This window comes from Homo sapiens, chromosome 17, assembly GCF_000001405.40.
Source record: "Homo sapiens chromosome 17, GRCh38.p14 Primary Assembly".
Classification (NCBI taxonomy): domain Eukaryota; kingdom Metazoa; phylum Chordata; class Mammalia; order Primates; family Hominidae; genus Homo; species Homo sapiens.
This window is the reverse complement of record NC_000017.11, coordinates 43,959,845-43,982,441: the sequence shown is the minus strand read 5'-3', so window position 1 is coordinate 43,982,441 and position 22,597 is coordinate 43,959,845. Positions and strand designations below refer to the sequence as shown.

The 22,597-nt window shown below is 45.6% G+C and overlaps 1 protein-coding gene across 1 annotated transcript in view; it reads left to right on the top strand.

Annotated features, from left to right (window-relative positions):
• The window catches only part of PYY (peptide YY), a 51,713-nt gene that overhangs the window by 22,004 nt on the left and 7,112 nt on the right, over positions 1-22,597 (top strand). Inside the window, exon 2 of the mRNA NM_004160.6 lies at positions 15,910-16,154. The gene's annotated coding sequence lies outside the window, so the exon portion shown is untranslated. The remainder of the gene's footprint in view (positions 1-15,909; positions 16,155-22,597) is intronic.

Genomic DNA, 22,597 nt, shown 5'->3' with positions numbered 1-22,597 from the left:
GTACATGAGTGTGTACTGTCCTTCCTCAATCAGTAGAGGAGACTCCTCTTACAAAAATGCACACAGGCATTCAGGGCCATGCATGAGGAAGCACACTCACTGACTCACACATATACAAGTGTTTTTGCCCCATCCTAGCCTCACTCCAGACTTCTGAGGTGGCTTCTCCTGCCGGCCTGACACTCTCAGAGATGGGATTCCCAATCCATCCACTCTGAAATGGGGGTGCTTACTAGCTGGTACTGACCTGTCATTCAGAGTTGGGGGGTGATGTGTATGGGTGAGAGTGTGGGTCTAATATGCAGGTAGGCAGGGCTCTGGAGAGCTCCCCTGGGCAGAGCTGCGCAGAGCTAAGAAGTTGTCCATGAAGAGGCAATTTGATCTAATTGCTAGGAGGATGCATATATTCTGGCTACTGATTTAAAATGTTTATGGAAAGTGATACATTGGACTATATTGATCATACCATTAAGAGAATGGAAAGGCACGCTACAGGATGGGAGAAGATATTTGTAAGGGACTTATTTCCAAAAAATAAATAGAATGTTTACAAATTAAAAAGAAAAGGTGGACAATTCAAAAGAAAAATGGGCAAAAGGCTTGGTCAGACAATTCACAACAGAGGATAACCAAATGGTTAATAAACATGAAAAGGGCCCAGCATGGTGGCTCATGCCTGTAATGCCAGCACTTTCGGAGGCCGAGGTGGGCGGATCACGAGGTCAGGAGTTCGAGACCAACCTGGCCAACATGGTGAAACCCCGTCTCTACTAAAAATACAAAAATTAGCTGGGCATGGTGGCGTGCACCTGTAATCCCAGCTACTTGGAAGGCTGAGGTAGGAGAATTGCTTGAACCTGGGAGGCAGAGGTTGCAGTGAGCTGAGATCACGCCATTACACTCCAGCCTGGGCGACAGAGTGAGACTGTCAAAAAAAAAACAAACAAACAAAACCATGAAAAGATGCTCTTTTAATCAATCATCAGGAAAATGCAAATTAAAGCCACAGTGAGATACCACCACCCATCCACCAGAATGACTAAAATGAAAAGACAAACATGATGCCAAGTATTGGTGAGGATATGGTATAACCAGGTCTCATACTGTGTTGATGGGAGTGTACATTGGTACAACCACTTCAGGAAATTGGCCATATCTGCTAAAGTGCAACACATACACACCCTATAACCCAGCAATTCAACTCCTAGGTGTATATACTCAACAGACGTGTGTATATATGTTCACCAAAAGACACTTCCAAGAATGTTCTGCTCGGCCAGGCATGGTCTCATGCTTGTAATCTCAGCACTTTTGGAGGCTGAGGCAGGAGGATTGCTTGAGGCAAGGAGTCTGAGACCAGCCTGGGCAACATAGCAATAGCAAGACCTTATCTGTACTAAAAAAAAAAAGAAAAAAAAAAGTTCTGCTGTCTCAGATGGGCAAGCTTAAAAAAGAAATGCTCGTAGCCACAGTAATCATAATAGTTCCAAACCTGAAACTATCCAAATGCCTGTAAATACTACAACAAATAAATAAATAATGATATGTTCACACCACAGAATATTACATAGAGATAAGAATGAACAAACTGTACACACAACAACACGGATGAATTTATTTCACAAACATAATATTGAGCAGAAGAAACTGAACCTAAAAGAATACTATGTGGCCAGGTGCGGTGGCTCACACCTGTAATCCCAGCACTTTGGGAGGCAGAGGAGGGTGGATCAAGAGGTCAGGAGTTCAAGAACAGCCTGGCCAACATGGTGAAACCCTGTTTCTATTAAAAATACAAAAATTAGCTGAGTGTGGTGGTGGGCACCTGTAATCCCAGCTACTCCGGAGGCTAAGGCAGAGAATTGCTTGAACGCAGGAGGCAGAGGTTGCAGTGAGCCGAGATTGCGCTACTACGCTCCAGCCTGGGTGACAGAGTGAGACCCTGTCTCAAAAAAAACAAAACAAAACAAAACAAAAAGTCCAGGCATGGTGGCTCACTCCTGTAATCCCAGCACTTTGGGAGGCCGAGGCGGGCGTATCACCTGAGGTCAGGAGTTTGAGACCAGCCTGGCCAACATGGTGAAACCCCATCTCTACTAAAAATACAAAAATTAGCCGGGCATGGTGGCGCATGCCTGTAATCCCAGCTACTCGGGAGGCAGAGGCAAGAGAATTGCTTAAACTCCGGAGGTGGAGATTGCAGTGAGCTGAGATTGTGCCATTGCACTCCAGCCTGGGCAACAGAGTGAGACTCTGTCTCAGAAAAAAAAAAAAAAAAAAAAAAAGGTGGAGGGGAAAGAAAGAAAAAAGAATACTATCTGATTCCACATAACTTATGTGTTAGAAATGAGGAAAAATGGTTATCCTCAGCAGGGAAGGGATAGAAAGGTAGGGGACACTGGGAGGACTTCCTAGGGGCTTGTAATGTTCTGTTTCTTAAGCTGGGTGCTGGTTGCATTGATGCGCTTTGTTTGTGAAAATCCATTGAGCTGAACATTTACAATCTGTGCACTTTAGGTGTGCTAGTCTTCAATAAAAAGTTGAAAATGTGTTTTGACATTTATGGAGCTAGCGTTTGGGTAAATTGAAGCTGTGTGTCACTGATTAAACTCTCTTGGCCCTGTTGTTCCCTCCCCTACTCTTCCCCCTCTTCTATTCCTGGGCCTCACCTAGCTACCCCCACACCCATTTCTCCCCCCACCGCTGGTCTGCTTCTGATTGCGCAGGATATGCAATTATATATATAAATTTTTTTTTCTGTTGTTTGAGACAGAGTCTTGCTGTCACCCAGGCTGGAGTGCAGCGGTGCCATCATAGCTCACCATAGCCTTCATCTCCCAGCATTAAGTGACCCTCCTGTCTCAGTCTCCTGAGTAGCTGGGACTACAGCTTTTTTTTTTTTCATCTTTATTAGAGAAGAGGTCTCACTATGTCATCCATAAGCATGTTTTTGTTAAAGAAGTCCTTTAAATTTTTTTCCCACAAAACTGCTGTATAGGCAGGTGCAGCCATTGTCTAGAAGCCCTGCCTTCCCTGATGTTTTATCGGTTTGAGATTAGGCTCAGCTGTGAGTGAAGAGAAATTTCAAAATAACAAGGACTTAAATCAGGGATTCTCAAATTTAAGTGTGCAGCAGAATCACTTGGAGGGCTTAATAAGACTCCAACTGCTGGGGCCCATGCCCAGGGCTTCTGACTCAGTAGGTTCGGGATGGGGCCTGAAAATGCGTGTTTCTAATTAGCCGCCAAGTGATGCTGCTGCTGCTGCTGCCAATCTGGAAATCACCCTTTGAGAACAACTGCTGGAAACACATCAAGTTTTTTTCCCTCGTGTAAAAAGCCTAGAGGCCTTTTGGTGGTTCAGAGATCCTTCCAGCTTTTCACTTTGGCTCCCTAAGGTGCGACACTCATCGCATGGCCCAAAATGACTGCTTCAGCTCCAGCCATTAGAGATTTATTCCAGCAGACAGGAAAGAGGAAGGGGCAGAAGAAAAACAGACCTTTATGGATAAGGGCACTTTACAGGGGGTGCCCACAGTTTAAGGGTTAGACCGACCAATGCCTTGGCCCTTCTGATGCAGAGTATGGAGGGCTATGCTGCTGGGAGCACAGGGAGGGGCCCCAACCCAGCCAAGGGGTGGGAGTGGGAGGTGACCTCTACAAATAGCAATTCCTGTCTACCTTTAGTGTTGGTGCAAAGATTACATTTTAAAAATGGATGTGACTGTGATTTACAAGTGGCAAGTCCTATAGAGAAGTTCCTTGCTTTTCTGTCTGAGGTACAGACCCAAACTGGGGTGGGGGTGTAATAGCCTGTTTTGGGAATTACACTGAGCCTTGCCTGCAGGAGATATGATCTGGGAGAGAGGCTGGCAAGGGGGGTCTTTAAATACTGATGGAAGCCATGAAAGATGCTTTTCCCCAGAAAGATACACTTTCTTTTCTTTTCTTAGAGAACAGAGTCTCGCTACATTGTCCAGACTGGTCTTTAACTCCTGGGCTCAAACGATCCTCCTGTCTTAGCCTCCCAAAGTGCTGGGGTTACAGGTGTGAGCTATCATACCCAGCCAAAATACAGTTCACTTCTCTCTCTTTTCCTTCCTTTCCTTTTCTTCCCTTCCCTTCCTTCCTTCCTTCCTTCCATCCTTCTTCCTTCCTTCCTTCTCTCTCTCTCTCTTTCTTTCTCTTTCTTTCCTTCTTTCCTTTCTTCTTTCTTTCTCTCTCTTTCTTTCCTTCTTTCCTTTCTTCTTTCTTTCAGGGTCTTGCTCTGTCACCCTTATGTCTGGTGGCATAATCATGGCTCACTGCAGCCTTGACCTCCTGGGCTCAAGTGATCCTCCCACCTCAGCCTCCCAAGTAGTGTAGATTACAGGTGCGTGCCACCATGCCTGGCTAATTTGTTTTTTTGTAGAAACGGGCCTCCCCCTGTTGCCCAGGCTGGTCTTGAACTCCTGGGCTCAAGCAATCCGCCTGCCTCAGCCTCCCAAGATGCTGGGATTACAGGTGTGAGCCACCGTGCCCGGCCAAGATTCACTTTGATACATGTTTTACTATGCAACCTCAAGGGGTTCACAGGCCCCTGAGGCTCACTGAGGAACCCCGTTTAAGAATCCTTGTTCTAGAGGAAATCTCCATCTCAGCAGTGGTTTTAGGAGCCCCAGGCTCTGGGACAGCAGTTTCAGGAGGTTTTCCTGAATGGCCCCAACTCCAAAGTGGGGACTCTAAGTGGGAAGACCCCTGTGGCAGTGGCATAGGTGGCTCTGAGATGGTGCTGCAGTTTCAAGGGACCCCAGAACTGGGCTGAGGACACAGAGTAGGGTGAAGGTAAGCAGGAGAAAGTGGACAGAGGGACAAAGGGGCATGGAGCAGGGAGAGTCGGGGGTGCACCTGCCAAGGAACTGCAGGTCAGCAGTGCCAGTGTTGGGCGGGCAGGTGCCGGAACACCTGCAGCGTGTTCCCAGCTGGGGCAGGACTCCTTGCATGAGTCCTGGTGCAAGGGGCGTCCAGGAGTGGCCCCTGGAACTCTAGTTTCCAGGTCACTGACTTGGGCCTTGTTCTCCCTGGGAGGTGGCGGAAAGGTGGGAGTGGGTCAATTCTTGTTTTCTTCTCTCTCTGCTGTCACCTTCCACCCTCCTCTCTGATAGATGGCACAGACTAAGTCGCAGCTAATGGCTTTCTGCAGAGCCCTTGGAACTAATGAAGCTGCTAACAAGTGCCTGGGTAAATGAATTGCCATCCCTGCCTCCCTCTCCCCCTCCCTCTCCCTGCCCCGCTGAAGGCCATGGGCTGCACAGCAGCTCAAGGCCACTGGAGACACAGAATGGGGGATGAAGGATGGGGCCTGTCACTCTAGGCCAGGAAGGCAGGGTGGGGGGACATGAGAGGGTGGAGGTAAACACTGGGGAGAAGCATATATGGAGAGGGAGTTGGTGAGAATTGTGGAGAAATGTGGGTAGAGGCCGGTGGCAGAGACATGAGCAAGAAGAAGGGATGTGTATCGGGTAGGGTGGGGTGAGGTGGAGTGATGGTCCCCTTCTGTGCCAGGCACTGGTGCACAAAGATCAGAAGCCCCTGCCTTGTCCTTGAGGAAACCACATTTTGGTAGGGGGTAGAGAAACATATAGAGATAGTCACTGGTTGGTTTTTGTTTTTGTTTTTATGTTTTTGGTTTGAGACAGAGTCTCGCTGTGTCACTGAGGCTGGAGTGCAGTGGCGTGATCTTGGCTCACTGCAAACTTGACCTCCCGGGTTCAAGTGATTCTCCTGCCTCAGCCTCCTGAGTAGCTGGGACTACAGGCATGCGCCACCACGCCCAGCTAATTTTTGTATTTTTAGTAGAGATGGGGTTTCACCATGTTGGCCAGGCTGGTCTTGAACTCCTGACCTCAGGTGATCCACCCGCCTCAGCCTCCCAAAGTGCTGGGATTACAGACGTGAGCCACCACACGTGGCTGGCATATATATATATGTGTGTGTGTGTATATATATGTATATGTATACATGTATATGTGTATATATGTATATGTATACATGAATATGTATATACGTATATGTATACATGTATGTGTATATACGTATATGTATACATGTATATGTGTATATACGTATATGTATACATGTATATGTGTATATACGTATATGTATACATGTATACATATGCGTATATATACGTACATGTATACATGTATACATATGTGTATATATACGCATATGTATATATGTATACATATACGTATATGTATATATGTATACATATACGTATATATACATATATGCATGCATGTATACATATGTATATATACATATATGTATACATATATACGTATACATGTATACACGTATATATGCATATTCATGTATACATGTACATACGCGTATACATGTATACGTATTATACATATACATGTATACGCTTATACACGTATACACGTGTATGTACACGTACGTAGACACGTGTATGTACACGTACGTAGACACGTGTATGTACACGTACGTAGACACGTGTATGTACACGTACGTAGACACGTGTATGTACACGTACGTAGACACGTGTATGTACACGTACGTAGACACGTGTATGTACACGTACGTAGACACGTGTATGTACACGTACGTAGACACGTGTATGTACACGTACGTAGACACGTGTATGTACACGTGTATATATGTGTGTATATATATATGTGTGTGTGTGTGTATATATATATATATATATATTTTTTTTTTTCAGGGTCTTACTCCTGTCACCCAGGCTGGAGTGCAGTGGTATGATCTCGGCTCACTGCAGCCTTGACTTTCTGGGCTCAGGTGATTGTCCCGCCTCAGCCTCCTAAGTAGCTGGGACAACAGGCACGTGCTACAATACTCAGCTATTTTATTTTATTTTATTTTTATTTTTAGTAGGACAAGATTTCGCTATGTTGCCCAGGCTGCTCTTGAACTCCTGGGCTCAAGCAATCCGCCCAACTTGGCCTCTCAAAGTGCTAGGATTACAGGTAAGAGCCACTGTGCTCAGCCTACCCACTGTTTAATTGCCAAAAGAAGCCTGTGACACGAGCTTTACTATTCTCTTTTTACAGTGAGGCTCAGAGAGGCCAAGCAAACTCTCTCAAAGTCACACAGCTAAGAAATGCGAGTGGGATTCAAACCCAGAACATCTGACTCCGGAATCCATACCCTTTCCACCACCCCTAGGTTTGTAAGTATGTGGAAAGGAAAGACATGTTCAGAAACCATTAAGAACAGATGGTTCTGGGTTGATCTGATTTTCCCCGTTGATGGAATTATTTGGTCGGGGATAGGAGTGCCGCAACTCCTCATGTCTGGACTTCAGCAAGGCACACAGCACAATCTCTCCTGACATCCTGCAGACATGGGGTGATGTGTGGGCGAAATGGCTCAACGGCTGGAAGAATTTCTAATTAAATGAGAGGCTGCTTCTAAAGGCAATCCATGACTGAAAGCGGGAGATGGCGGCTTTGCACCACAGGGCTCTGTCCTTTGTCCTACTCTGTTGAACTTTTTTTTCCCTATCCTCCCCCCCATATTTATTTCTAATTATCGAAATAATATATGTCTGCTGTAGAAAAATATAAACTATAGCTAAGCCAAAAGAAAGAAAAAGCATCCTAATCCTCACCAGCACCACTTGCTGAACAGCCTTTTTCAATTTGCTGTAACTCTGAACATTTTTAGAATACAATGTTAGGACCCGAATTCCCGCAACAAAAGATAACTCCACTGTTCACACTGAGGGCGCATCCTGCCAGTCTCTTTATTGCAAACAATAGCAAGAAAATGTAGCACGTTATGGGGTGCTTACATTGAGCTGGCAACAGTCCTGAGCTTCTGACAGCCATTATTTCATTCAATCCTCCTAACCCTTTACGGGCACTTTTATGACCTATTTTTCACAGATGACAAAACCAAAGCTCAGAGATGAAATGATTTGCTCACACCACAGAGACTGGGTGAACAATTGACACAGGGTTTGAAGCAGGTTTTGTCGGATTCTGGAGTGGGGCTTTGAGCAACCATGGGACACCTCCCTCCAAAGGTGCCTGCGTGTTCACCTAGAACCATCCCCCACTGCCTGCCCTTCCACCCCACCCTCTACTAGTAAAGGGGGCAGTTTGTGCAGGACGGTCTGAATCTGCCTGTTGCTTCTCTTCTGCTTGCACAGTAGCATCCGGGGACACAAATGTTATGTGCGGGAAATGCGCGAGGGAAGAAAAGACACACCCACGATACCTTTAAGGGTAAACAACCTTTATCCCATGTAAATGGCAATGTAGATATAATAAGCAAATGATATAATAATAAGCAGATTGATATAATAAGCAAATTGCAATGGGAAGGGGAGAAGGGAAAAGATATTCATACTCACCAGACTATGGAGGATTCACCACCAGACTGGGAAGCAACAGCCTGGGTCGGCTCCAGAGTCGGCCACTTGTCCGTGCACAGACAAGGAAGAGGTCTCATGAAGCTTTGGCACAATCTAGGACCCTAGCTCTTTTGTAACGAGTTGTTTGGCATGAGGTCCAGGCACGAAGGCCCTTCGTGACCAGGCTCAAGGAACACAAAAAGGTCAACTTGTTTTTGCGATTGTCTGTTGTTTTTCTTATATACTTATTTATTTATTTTTTGAGACGGAGTCGTGCTTTGTCACCCAGGCTGGAGTGCAGAGGCACGATCTTGGCTCACTGCAATCTCTGCCTTCCCGGTTCAAGTGATTCTCCTGCCTCAGCCTCCCAAACAGCTGGGATTACAGGTGGCCGCCACCATGCCTGGCTAATTTTTGTATTTTTAGTAGAGACGGGGTTTCACCAAGTTGGCCAGGCTGATCTCGAACTCCTGGACTTCAGGTGATCCACCCACCTTGGCCTCCCAAAGTGCTGGGATTACAGACGTGAGCAACCACGCCCAGCTTTGTTTTTCAGTAACGTATAGGAATAGATTGAAATAGAGATTTCTCCAAAACAGCGCTGGATGAATGCCTCAAGGGGCTCACACAGCCCCTTCTGGTACTTGGTGACCATTGTTTGTGTCCATGTTCAATTGAGTTCAGATTTAATATTTAACTTTTCCTCCACAACGACCTAGGATGTGATCCCACACCAGGCACAAACCCCAGAGACTCTCCTGATCTGTCAGTAGCCACCCATGGGTGCTTACAGTAGGAGGGTGGCTTGCCTAGGAAGCCAGGAATTTATCTTTAAGTGACAAACACTTTTTAAAAACTTACTTTCAGGTTCTGTTCTAAGCACTTTAGAAATAACTTTTTTTTTTTAAATGACTTTTTTGGCAGAGTGCTGTGGCCCACATCTGTAATCCAGCACTTTGGGAGGCTGAAGCAGGAGGATCACTTGAGGCCAGGAGTTTGAGACCAGCCTGGGCAACATAGTGAGATCGTGTCTCAACAAAAATAGGCTGGGTGCGGTGGCTCACGCCTGTAATCCCGGCACTTTGGGAGGCTGAGGCGGGCGGATCACGAGGTCAAGAGGTCAAGACCATCCTGGCCAACATGGTGAAACACCGTCTCTACTAAAAATACAAAAATTAGGTGGGCTTGGTGGCACGCCTGTAGTCCCAGCTACCTGGGAGGCTGAGGCAGGAGAATCGCTTGAACTCAGGAGGCGGAGGTTGCGGTGAACCGAGATCACGCCACTGCACCCCAGCCTAGCGACAGAGTGAGACTCTGTCTCAAAAAAACAAAACAAAACCAAAAATAAATACTAATACAAATTAGCCGGGTATAGTGGTGCATGCCTGTTTGCCTAGCAACTAGGAAGGCTGAGGTGGGAAGATCGTTTGAGCTCACGAGTTCAAGGTTACAGTGAGCTATGACTGTGCCACTGCATTCCAGCCTCGGTGATTGAGATCCTGTCTCAAAAAAAAAAATGTTTTTTAAAGTAACATAAAGTTGGCCGGGTGTGGCGGCTCACGCCTGTAATCCCAGTGCTTTGGGAGGCTGAGGCAGGCAGATCACCTGAGGTCAGGAGTTTGAGACCAGCCTGGCCCAACATGGTGAAATCCCATCTCTACTAAAAAAAATACAAAATTAGCCCGGCGTGGTGACACACAGCTGTAGTCCTAGCTATTCAGGAGGCTAAGACAGGAGATTACTTGAACCTGGGAGGTGGAGGTTGCAGCAGGCCAAGATCACGCCACTGCACTCCAGCCTGGGTGACAAAATGAGACTCCCTCTCTCAATAAATAAATAAATAAATAAATAAATAAATAAATAAAATAAAATAAAATAAATAAATAACTAAAGTAACATAAAATAAAATTGACCATTTTGTTGGTGTACAGCTTTATGAGCTTTAACACATGTATAGATTCCTAGACCCAATAATGGTGTCTGAACAATAAACATTCATACACAAAAAAGAGAATTTCAACCGAAACCTCATACCTTATACAAAAATTAGCTCAAAAGGGAAAGCAATGTAAAATAATAAAACTTTAGAGAAAAGTAGGGGAAAATCTTCATGACCTCAGTTTAGGCAAATAGTTCTTAGACTGGACACCCAAAAGAATGAGTCACAAAAGAGAACAATTGATAAATTGGACTTCATCATAAATAAAAACTTTTGTTCTATGAAAGACAGGGTTAAGAAAACGAAAAAACCAGCTACGGACTGAAAGAAAATAGTTGCAAATCACATATTCAGCAAAAGACTTGTATCCAGAATATATAAAGAACCCTTCAAACTCAACAATAAGAAAACCAACAACCCACTTAAAAAAAAAAAAACCACATGAACAGACACTGCACCAAGGAGGATATAAAGATGGCAGATAAGCACATGAATAGATGTTTGACATCATTAGACAACAGAAAGATGCAATTTTTTTTTTTTTTTTTGAGACAGAGCCTTGCTCTGTCACCCAGGCTGGAGTGTGGTGGCATGATCTTGGCTCACTGCAACCTACACCTCCCAGGTTCAAGTGATTCTCTTGCCTCAGCCTACTGAGTAGCTGGGATTACAGACTTGTGTCACCATGCCCGGCCAATTTTTATATTTTTAGTAGAGATGGGGTTTCACCATACTGGCCAGGCTGGTCTTGAACTCAGGATCTCACGTGATCTGCCCACCTTGGCCTCCCAAAGTGCTGGGATTACAGGTGTGAGCCACCACGCTTGGCCGGAAAATGCAAGTTAAAACCATGATGAGCTGCACTATCCACACATTAGAATGGGTAATATAAAAAATATTGACAATCCGAAGTGCCGAGAGGGTGCAGAGCAATTAGAACTCTTGTCCATTGATGGTGGGAATGCAAAATGGTACAGCCATCCTGGAAAACATTTTGCACTTTTTCTAAAATTAAGCACACAATTACATATGACCCAGAAAACTCTCTTCAGGGTATTTATCCTAGAGAGATGAATATGCCCACATGAATGTTTATAGCCGCTTTATTCATAGTTGATCCAAAATGGAAACAGCCCTAATGTCTTTCAATGGGTAACTGAGTAAACAAACCACATTAATATATTGGCATATTTACTATTCAGCAAGAAAAAGGAATGGACTATTGATACACAGAACAAATTGGAGTCATCTCAAGGGCATTAGGAGTGGACAAAGCCTGTCTCAATAAGTCACATACTGTATTATTCCAGTTGTGTGATATTCCCTAAAAGATAGAACTATAGTGATGGTAGTGGGTGCAAACATTAGGGCTGAGAGGCCTGACCACACAGGGATAGTACTAGGGGGTCCTTCGGAGTGATACAGTCCTTCTGTGTCCTGACTATGCTGGCGGTTCTAGGAGTCCTTTCTCCATTCAGTTGTCTTTGCACTTTGGTCAAAAATCAATTTGCCATATTTGCATGGGTCTATTTCTGTACTGTCTATTCTGTTCCATTGACCTAGCTATCTGTCATTTCACCTGTACTACACTCACTGTCTTTTTTTTTTTTTTAGACAGGGTCTCCTTCTGTCGTTTAGGCTGGAGTGCAATGGTGCAATCTCAGCTCACTGCAACCTCTGCCTCCTGGATTCAAGCAATTCCCATGCCTCAGCCTCTTGAGTAGCTGGGATTACAGGCATGTGCCACCACGCCCAGGAATTTTTGTATTTTTAGTAGAGATGGGGTTTTTTCATGTTGCCCAGGCTGATCTTGAACTCCTGGCCTCAAATGATCCTCCAGCCTCAGCCACTCAAAGTGCTGGGATTACAGGCATGAGCCACCTTCCCCAGCTTTTTTTTTTTTTTTTTTTTTTTTTAAGAGACAGGGTCTTGTTTTTTTATCCAGGCAGAGTACAGTGGTGTGATCATGGCTCACGGTAACCTCACACTCCTGGGTTTAAGCGATTCCCCCACTTCAGCCTCCCCAGTAGCTGAGACTACAGGCACCACCATGCCCAACAAATTAAAAAAACTTTTGGCTGGGCGTGGTGGCTCATGTCTGTATTCCCAGCACTTTGGGAGGCCGTGGCAGATGTATCATGAGGTCAGGAGTTCAAGACCATCCTGGACAATATGGTGAAATCCCATCTCTACTAAAAATACAAAAAATTAGCCGGGTGCGGTGGCGGGCACCTATAATCCCAGCTACTCGGGAGGCTGAGGCAGAGAATTGCTTGAACCCAGGAGGCAGAGGTTGCAGTGAGCTGAGATGGCGCCACTGCACTCCAGTCTGGGTGACAGAGCGAGACTCCATCTCAAAAAAAAAAAAGTTTTTTTTGTAGAGACAGGGTCTTACTATGTTGCCCAGGCTGGTCTTGAACTCCTGGCTTCAAGCAATACCTACCTCTTGACTTAGCCTCCCAAGGCATTGGAATTATAGGCGTGAGATACCCAGCCTGGCCTAAGAGTATTGTTTTTTAATTGTGAGTGGATTTTGAATTTTTGTCAAATGGTTTTTCTTTATCAATCAATATGAGCATTTGCTTTTTTTTTTTTTTTTTTTGAGACAGAGTCTTGCTCTATCACCCAGGCTGGAGTGCAGTAGTGAGATCTTGGCTTACTGCAACCTCTGCTCCTGGGTTCAAGCGATTCTTCTGCCTCAGCCTCTGGAGTAGCTGGGATTACAGGTGCCCGCCACCACGGCCCAGCTAATTTTTGTATTTTTAGTAGAGACAGGGTTTCACCATGTTGATTAGGCTGGTCTAGAACTCCTGACCTCAAGTGATCCACCCGCCTCGGCCTCCCAAAGTGCTGGGATTACAGGTGTGAGCCACTGCACCTGGCCAAGTGATTGATTTTTGAATATTGAACCAGCCTTGCATTGTCAGGATAAATCCCACCTGATTGTAACATATACATTTTTTTTTGTTATATATTCCTGAGTTCAGTTGTCTAATATTTTTTTCTTTTTGAGATGCAGTCACACCCTATCGCCCAGACTGGAGTGCAGTGGCACGATCTTGGCTCACTGCAGCCTCTGCCTCCCAGGTTCAAGGCATTTTCCTGTCTCAGCCACCTGAGTAGCTGGGACTACAGGCGCATGCCCCCATGCCTGGCTAATTTTTATATTTTTAGTAGAGACAGGGTTTCACCATATTGGTCAAGCTGATCTCAAACTCCTGACCTCAGGCGATCCACCCGCCTTGGCCTCCCAAAGTGCTGGGATTACAGGCTTGAGCCACTGAGCTCGGCTTATTTATTTATTTAGAGATGGAGTCACACTCTGCTGCCCAGGCTGGAGTGCAGTGGCACAATCTTGGCTCACTGCAACGTCTGCCTCCTGGGTTCAAGCAATTCTCCTGCCTCAGCCTCCCGAGTAGCTGGGACCACAGGTGCACACTACCACACCTGGCTAATTTTTGTATTTTTAGTAGAGACAGAGTTTCACCACATTGGCCAGGCTGCTCTCGAACTCCTGACCTCAAGTGATCCATCTGCCTCAGTCTCCCAAAATGCTGGGATTGTAGGCATGAGCCACCGCGCCTGGCCAGCTAATATTTTGTTGAAGATTTTTACATATATGTCCATGAGAGATATTGATCTGTAGTTTTTTTTTCTTACAATATCTTTGTTTCATTTTGGTCTCAGGGTAATGTTGCCCTCATAAAATGAACGAAGGAGTATTTTCTCTTGTTCTATTTTCTGGAAGAGATTGTGTAAAATCAGTGTTATTTCTTCTTTAGTTATCCCGCTCTACTGCACACTTCCTATGATTGTGTCCGTGTTCAGGGCCAGGTGGCAGGAGGACACAGAGAGAAGAAAGCTATAGGGGTTCTCCTTCTTGGGACTACAACTGTTTTTAAAAATAAACACACACACATACACGCCCAGGCTGGTGTCTTACTCCTGCCCGCAAGTGATCCACCTCGGCCTCCCATAGTGCTGGGATTACAGACATGATCCACAGCCCCTGGCCCACAACTCTTGATCGGAGAGGGAAAGATTTGGTTGTCTGTGGACCCTGCAGCCACTGATACTACTGTCACCACTGCTACTCCCATGGAATTGTCTCGGGGCTGGGGCACGGGAGAATGAAGAAGAGAAAAATGGAGTTCCTTTTCTCTCTCTCAGTGCTAGACCTTCCCTTTCCACTCCTCGAGGCAGAACGAGCATTTCTCCTGTTGATCCCTCTCGTAGCCCCAGTGCCCATTCTGGATTTGGCGCTGTCTTGTATCGAGGCTGGGGAATATCAGAGGAAAAATGAGAAACTCATTTCAGCTCAGTGGAACGTTGAATTCTGGCTTTCTTCCCCCGTTTCCCCGCTGTGTTTACTTTCACACTCTTCAGAGAGCTGCCCCGTGCGTGTCTGTCCATGTTTCACAGCAGCATTCAGCAGGAGAGACAGGGTGGAGGCTGCTTACTCCATCTCATCTGGAACCTAATAGCTTTTTAAACCATCACAACCATATGAAGTAGATGCTATTGTTATATACATGTGGCCGATGACAAAACTGAGGCCCTTAGAGGTTAAGTAATTTTCCTAAGATCACACAGCTAGTCAGTGGCCAACCCAGTCATCCTAGCCCCAGAGTTTGTGGTCTGAGCTGCAAGTTCCACAGCTTCAGAGGGAGTTGAATGTGACAGCTCTGTGGGGTGAGGTATGGGGCTCGCCTGCTGTGGACAGGCCCTGATATCTCACTCCCTCTAACCTGCACAGTGTGTGAAGGGAGAGTGCATAGTGTTTAGGGAATTGCTTTCTTCTTCTTCTTCTTTTTTTAGACAGAGTCTCACTCTGTCATCCAGGCTGGAGTGCAGTGGTGTGATCTCAGCTCATTGCAGCCTCCGCCTCCCAGGTTCTGGTGATTCTCCTGCCTCAGCCTCCCGAGTAGCTGGGATTATAGGCACGTGCCACCACGCCCAGCTAATTTTTGTATTTTTAGTAGAGACAGATTTTCACCATGTTGGCCAGGCTGGTCTCGAACTCCAGACCTCAGGTGATCCACCCACCTTGGCCTCCCAAAGTGCTAGGATTAGAGGTGTGAGCCACCGCGTCTGGCCTTTTGCTTTCTTCTTTGATGAAGATCTGGACTGTGGTGGGATAGGAATAGCCTTCTGTCTTCAAGACATATGCATGTATGTGCATGTGTGTGTATGTGTGTATACATGCTTATGTATGTGCCTGTGTGTAAACCATGCAGCCATGGACAGTGAGGATGTGGATCCATTCATTCAGCAAGTGTACTTGAGCCACCACCATGTATCACACATTATTCTAGTCACTGGGGATATATCAGTGAAGAAACAGACAAAAACCTCTGCTCTCATGGAGCCTCCATTCTAGTAGTCAGACAACAAGCATACAAATAAGTCAATTACATAGAATGCTAGAAAGTGCTAAGTGCTGGGGAATAAACAGGGCAGATAAGGAGGATTGGGAGTGTTGGGGTAAAGGGCAGGATATAGTTATTAACACGAAACGATGTCTGCCATGTACTCTTGAATGCACTGCCTAAACTGCGATTTCATATGACTTCCTTGTATTCCAGAGGAAACTCATTCAGGCAAGTTCAGCCCTTTATGAGGAATTCCCCTGTGGTCACATTCCAATTCCTGGACCTGCTGCCACCCTCAGAACTGCATGCTCCTTCTTCAGACTTTCTAAGAATGACTCAGGTCATTGGTGGAGTGAAGTCAAGATTTCCAACTCAGTCACCTGAAGAGATGGAGATACCATTCATGGAGCTGGAGGTCCCTGGAGATTTGGGAATTCAGATAACAAGCTAAGATAAGGGTGAGCTACTGACTTGACCTCTCTCTGTGTCAGTTTCATATTCTGTAAAACCAGGCTAATGATGGTACATTATGTGTTGTGAAGACTAAAATAATATGTGAGACGTACCTGGCATAGTACTTGGCACAGTGTAGGCACTTAAGAAAGATTGATTTATTATTTTTGCTATTTAGGCTACATTGACTTTAAGCTGACTGAGAGATATCCATGGGGATATGTCTAGAAACAGTGGACTATGTGGATAGGGAACTCGGCAGAGGAGCAAATTACAGGGATTTTGGGGGTGATTAAAATCTTGGGGGTAGATGACAACCCTACAGTGAAGAAGAAAAAAGAAAAGAGAGCCAAGCATCTCATCTTGGGGAGCACCAATGTAAATAGGCAGAAACAGGAAATGCCAGGAAAAAATCATTTTTTGTTTTGTACTTACAATGGCTAGAAAAAAATATAATTTTACTTGTTTCTCTCTCTTTTTTTTTTTTTTTTTTTTTTTTTTTTGTGAGATGGATTCTCACTCTGTTGCCCAGGCTGGAGTGTGGTGGCATGATCTCGGCTCACTGAAACCTCCGCCTCCCGGGTTCAAGGAATTTTCCTGTCTCAACCTTCCAAGTAGCTGGGATTACAGGCACACACCACCATGCCTGGCAACTTTGTATTTTGGGTACAGACGGGGTTTCACCATGTTGGCCAGGCTGGTCTCGAACTCCTGACCTCAAGTGATCCGCCTGCCTTGGCCTCCCAAAGTGCTGAGATTACAGGTGTGAGTCACCATGCCTGGCCAAATATATACAATTTTTTTTTTTTTTTGATACGGAGTCTCACTCCGTCGCCCAGGCTGGAGTGCAATGGCATGATCTCGGCTCACTGCAACCTCTGCTTCCTGGGTTCAAATGATTCTGCTGTCTCCGCCTCCTGAGTAGCTGGGATTATAGGCACCTGCCACCATGCTCAGCTAATTTTTGTATTTTTAGTAGAGATGGGGTTTCACCATGTTGGCCATGCTGGTCTTGAACTCCTGACCTCAAGTGATCCACCCTCCTCGGCTTCCCAAAGTGCTGGGATTACAGGTGTGAGCCACTATGCCTGGCCATATATACAATTTTTATTTGTCCATTATTCCAGAATAAACCTGGAAGAAAAAAAAAGAGAAAAGAAAAGGAAAGAAAAAAAAGACTAGTCTGGATGCTAAGGATGTTCATTGCTATTGGTTTCAACATTGTTTCTAGCCCTTTTCTGTAAACAGAGATTTCCAAATCAAAGTCAGGACTGACGGGTGTTTATTTAACCTCTTCTATATGACATCTGTGTCCTCTTTCTTCCACATTGTAAATTCTTGTTCTCAAGGACACAGGAGATGGTAGCATTAAAAATCCCATTTATTTTAGAATAGCATTTGTTTGATCTATATTACACAGACGTCTCAGAATAAATACGGACTGGCACCACCAGTTATTACGGAAAACAGTTGATTTTTTTTTTCTTTTGAGACGGACTTTCACTCTTGTTGCCCAGACTGGAGTGCAATGGCACAATCTCGGCCCACCGTAAACTCCGCCTCCCGGGTTCAAGCGATTCTCCTGCCTCAGCCTCCTGAGTAGCTGGGATTACAGCTAATTTTCAAGCGATTCTCCTGCCTCATCCTCTCAAGTAGCTGGGATTACAGGCATGCGCCACCATGCCTGGCTAATTTTGTATTTTTAGTAGAGACGGGGTTTCTCCATGTTGGTCAGGCTGGTCTCAAACTCCCGACCTCAGGTGATCCGCCTGCCTTGGCCTCCCAAAGTGCTGGGGTTACAGGCGTCAGCCACCGCATCCAGCCAGCATTAGTTCTACATAACTGAACTTAATGCTCATCACCAGGCCTTATGTCAATGTTTTTCTAGTCATTTTGGTTGTCTGAAGTTTATTCTCTAGTAGATTCCTCAGGAAAAGCTTATGGGCATAATATTCCCTGAGATCTTGCATGCTGATAATAGTTTGATTATGCATTTGAAGGACAGAATAGCTGGGAGGTAGAGGTGAGAGGATTGCTTTAGCCCAAGAAATTTAGACCAGCCTGGGCAACATATTGAGACTCTATTTCTACAAAAATAAAAGAATAAAACACTATTAAAATTAGCTAGATGTGGTGGTATGCACCTGTAGTCCCAGCTGCTCAGGAGGCTGATTGCACCATTGCACTCCAGCCCGGATGGCAGAGCAAGACCCTGTCCCCTCACACTGCCCCAAAAAAAAGAAAGAAAGAAAAATGATGGTAATATAACATAACTTTCTTTATAGAGACAGGGTCTCTCTCTGTCACCAGGCTGGAGTGCAGTGGCACGTTCACAGCTCACTGCAGCCTTGATCTCGGCTCAAGCAATCCTCCCACCACAGCCTTCTAAGTAGTGGGACTAAAAGTGCATGCCATCATATTCAGCTATTTTTTGTATTTTTTTCCTATTTTGACCATCCATATCAGAATTTTTTTTTTTGTATTTTTGGTAGAAATAGGGTCTCTTTATGTTGCCCAGTCTAGTCTCGAACTCCTGGGCTCAAGCGATCCACCCACCTCGGCTTCCCAAAGTGTTGGGGGATTACAGGCGTGAGCCACTGCACCTGGTCAGGGTTATTTTTCTCTTTTTCTTTCTTTTCTCTCTGTTCTCTCTTTTCTTTCTTTCTCTTTCTTTCTTTCTTTCTTTCTTTCTTTCTTTCTTTCTTTCTTTCTTTCTTTCTTTTCCTTCCTTCCTTCCTTCCTTCCCTTCCTTCTCTTCCTTCTTTCTTTCTTTTTTTTTTTTTTTGAGATGGAGTTTCACTCTGCTGCCCAGGCTGGAGTGCAATGGCATGATCTCAGCTCGCTGTAACCTCCGCCTCCTGGGTTCAAGTGATTCTCCTGTCTCAGCCTCCTGAGTAGCTGGGATTACAGGTGTGTGCTACCACGCCTGGATAATTTTTGTATTTTTAGTAGAGACGAGGTTTCACCATGTTGGCCAGAGTAGTCTAGAACTCCTGACTTCAAGTGATCCGCCTGCCTCAGCCTCCCAAAGTGCTGGGATTACAGGGATGAGCCACCGTGCCCAGCTCAGGGCTATTTTTCTCATAATAGTTTTGTATGGGATTTGAGCTTAATACTTTTACATTGCTAATTTTTATGTGAAACTAATTTTCCTGAATTTTCAGAAGGAGGCTTCACCAGAGAGTTTTTCTAACTTCACAAATCTCTTCCTTTTATTGTTTTCACGTAATGTGAAAATGACGGTGGCTTTGGTCTGAGCTTTTTCTGGCTCTGTTCCTCTCTCCCCTTTTTATCTGGATCTCTTTCTCCCCCTTTTCTTGTCTCTGTGCTGCTTAATTTTGATCCTGCTCTTAGTGGCTTATCTGTGGGTTCAGTACCATAAGGGAGCCCTGGCGGGTCAGTGCTGAGAGCTCAGGGGACAAGAACTTCTCCAGGCCCTTTAGACTTGAACGAGGGCATTGGTGCCCTTGCCCTCGCCTGCTACTGTGATGGCTGTTTCAGCAGCTGTGTGCCGCCCCCCAAAAAATGCCCATTGCACTTTCCAGGTAACACCTGTTGACTACATCTCAAGTCATACAAATCAGAGGCAAACTGAAGTGTTTATGCCCCTAAATTCATCAGTCATTGGTTAAACCCGCCCCTGGGGAATGGGGAAGCCCCAGGCACTTCCAACGTGATGCAGGCAAATTGGTCCCGGCAGTCTGAGGGCACCCCTGTGACTAAAAGATTCCTTCATTCACGTGGTCAAGAATGCTCATTTTTTGTACAGCATGGTGACTATAGTTAATAGTTAATAATACTGTACTATAGAGTGTAGATCTTAAGCATTCTCACATAAGAAAAAGTAACAATGTGAGGTGATGGATGTGTTAATTTGGTTGCAGTAATCATTTTACAATGTATACATATATCAAATCATCACATTGTACACTTTAAGTATATACAATTTTATTGGTTAATGATACCTCAATAAAGCTGGAAAATGGCTCATTTTTACATTTCCATTTGGCATTGCATTAAGGGTCATGGAAGGGGGGAAATAGAGGAGTGAGAGGGTACCCCCATTCCTTCTAATAGCACATTTTGAGAGTGGCACACATCACTCTTGCTCACATCCATTGGCCGGAACTTAGTCACAAGAAGTCACTTGGCTGCAAGGGAGACTGGGAAATGTAGTGATTAGCTGGGAAGCCATATACTCAGCTAAACTCTATTGTAAGAGAAGAAGGGGAAAATAGGTACTGGGGAACAATTTATGGTCTCTTTCCTAAGACTGATGGGAAAGAGTGAAAGGAAAAGATGCGTGAGGTAGGGTGACAGGCTCCCACTTCCAGGCAGGGGATTGAGGGAGGAGGAGGATGCATGCTGAGGTGAAGGCCACTTTCAATGTGGTAAGAGATAGCTGAGTTTGGAGGCAGAGAAGACAGAAATTGGGCTGGCATGAGGGTTGGGGAAAATGGAATAAAACAGGCCGGGCACGGTGGCTCACGCCTATAATCTCAGCACTTTGGGAGGCTGAGGTCAGGAGTTCAAGACCAGCCTGGCCAACATGGGGGAAACCCTGTCTCTACTAAAAATACAAAACTTAGCCGGGTGTGGTGGCGCACTCCTGTAATCCCAGCTACTCGGGAGGCTGAGGCACAAGAATCACTTGAACCCAGGAGGCGGAGGTTGCAGTGAGCTGAGATTGCGCCACTGCACTCCAGCTTGGGTGACAGAGCGAGACTCCATCTCAAAAAAAGTAAAAAGAAAAAGAAAATGGAGCAAAACAGAGCCAAGGGCCTTCTAGCTAGGCATGGCCACGTGACTAAGTTCTGGCCAATGGGACAGGAGCACAGGAAGCAATGCAGCTTCCTCATCATACTCTTTATTTCCAACTTTTAAATTGAGGGGTACATGTACAGGATGTGCAGGTTTGTTACATAGGTAAATATGTGCCATGGTGGTTTGCTGCACAAATCATCCCATCACCTAGGTATTAAGCCCAGCAGCCATTAGCTATTCTTCCTGATACTTTCCCTCCTCCCCGACTTTGCTTTTTTGGTTTGCTTGTTTGTTTTTTTTTTTGAGATGGGGTTTTGCTCTGTTGCCCAGGCTGGAGTGCAGTGGAGCAATCACAACTCACTGCAGCTCTGACTCCTCAGGCTCAAGCGATCCTCCCACCTCAGCCTCCCAAGTAGCTGTGACTACAGGCATGCACCACCATACCAGGCTAATTTATTTTTTATTGTTTGGGTAGAGACAGGATCCTGTTATGTTGCCCAGGCTGGTCTCAAATTCCTGGGCTCAAGTGTCCTCCTGCCTCAGCCTCCCAAAGTGCTGAGATTACAGGTGTGGGCCAGGAACCTGACCTCTACCATACCAAACTCTTAACTTCCTTGTTTCTCATCCCGGTGGCCTGGAATGTGAATGTGGGGTAATGAACACCGTTTTTTTTTTTTTTGCGACGGAGTCTTACTCTATCACCCAGGTTGGAGTGCAGTGGCATGATCTCAGCTCACTGCAATCCCCGCCTCCTGGGTTCAAGCAATTCTGCTGCCTCAGTCTCCTGAGTAGCTGGGATTACAGGCACCCGCCACCATGCCTGACTAATTTTTTTGTATTTTTGGTAGAGACGGGGTTTCACCATGTTGGCCAGGCTGGTCTCCAACTCCTGACCTCGGTGATCCACCACCTTGGCCTCCCAAAGTGCTGGGATTACAGGCGTGAGCCACTGCGTCTGGCCTAATGAATATTGTTTTTTTTTTTTTTTTTTTTTTTGAGACAAAGTCTCACTCTCGTCCCTCGGGCTGGAGTGCCTCAGTTCATTGCAACCTCCGCCTCCCAGTTCAAGTGATTCTCCTGCCTCGGCCCACCTGAGTAGCTGGGATTACAGGCACCTGCCACCATGCCTGGCTAATTTTTGCATTTTTAGTAGAGATGGGGTTTCACCATGTTGGCCAGGCTGGTCTAGAACTCCTGATCTCAGGTGACCCACCCGCCTTGGCCTCCCAAAGTGCTGGGATTACAGGTGTGAGCTACCGCGCCCGGCCAAACATTCTTAAACCATGTAGATGGGTGCATAACTTGGAGTAACAAGATAGATGGTGTTTGGGCTCCTTGTAGATCAGAGGCACCCTATCCCCTGGCTACCAGCTTGGTTTCTTATACAAGAGAGAAATAAACATCTATGATATTTAAGCTACCGCTATTTGGTATCTATTAAGGGGGGGTGCATGAATATCTTAGCTAATATGTTCACATGTTGACTGACTGATTCAATAACCTAGGAGCACACACATGCCAGTATCACATCAGATGCCAGGAGCCACAAAGACACAAGTCCATAAGGGCCTGGTGAATCAGGGAGCTGACTGTGTCTGACCTAGGTCAGAACTGTTTCTCCCTGAATCCATACCTCTTTCAGGACTTGAGTTTCTGCACCTGCAGCACAGGCCTCTTGAGACTG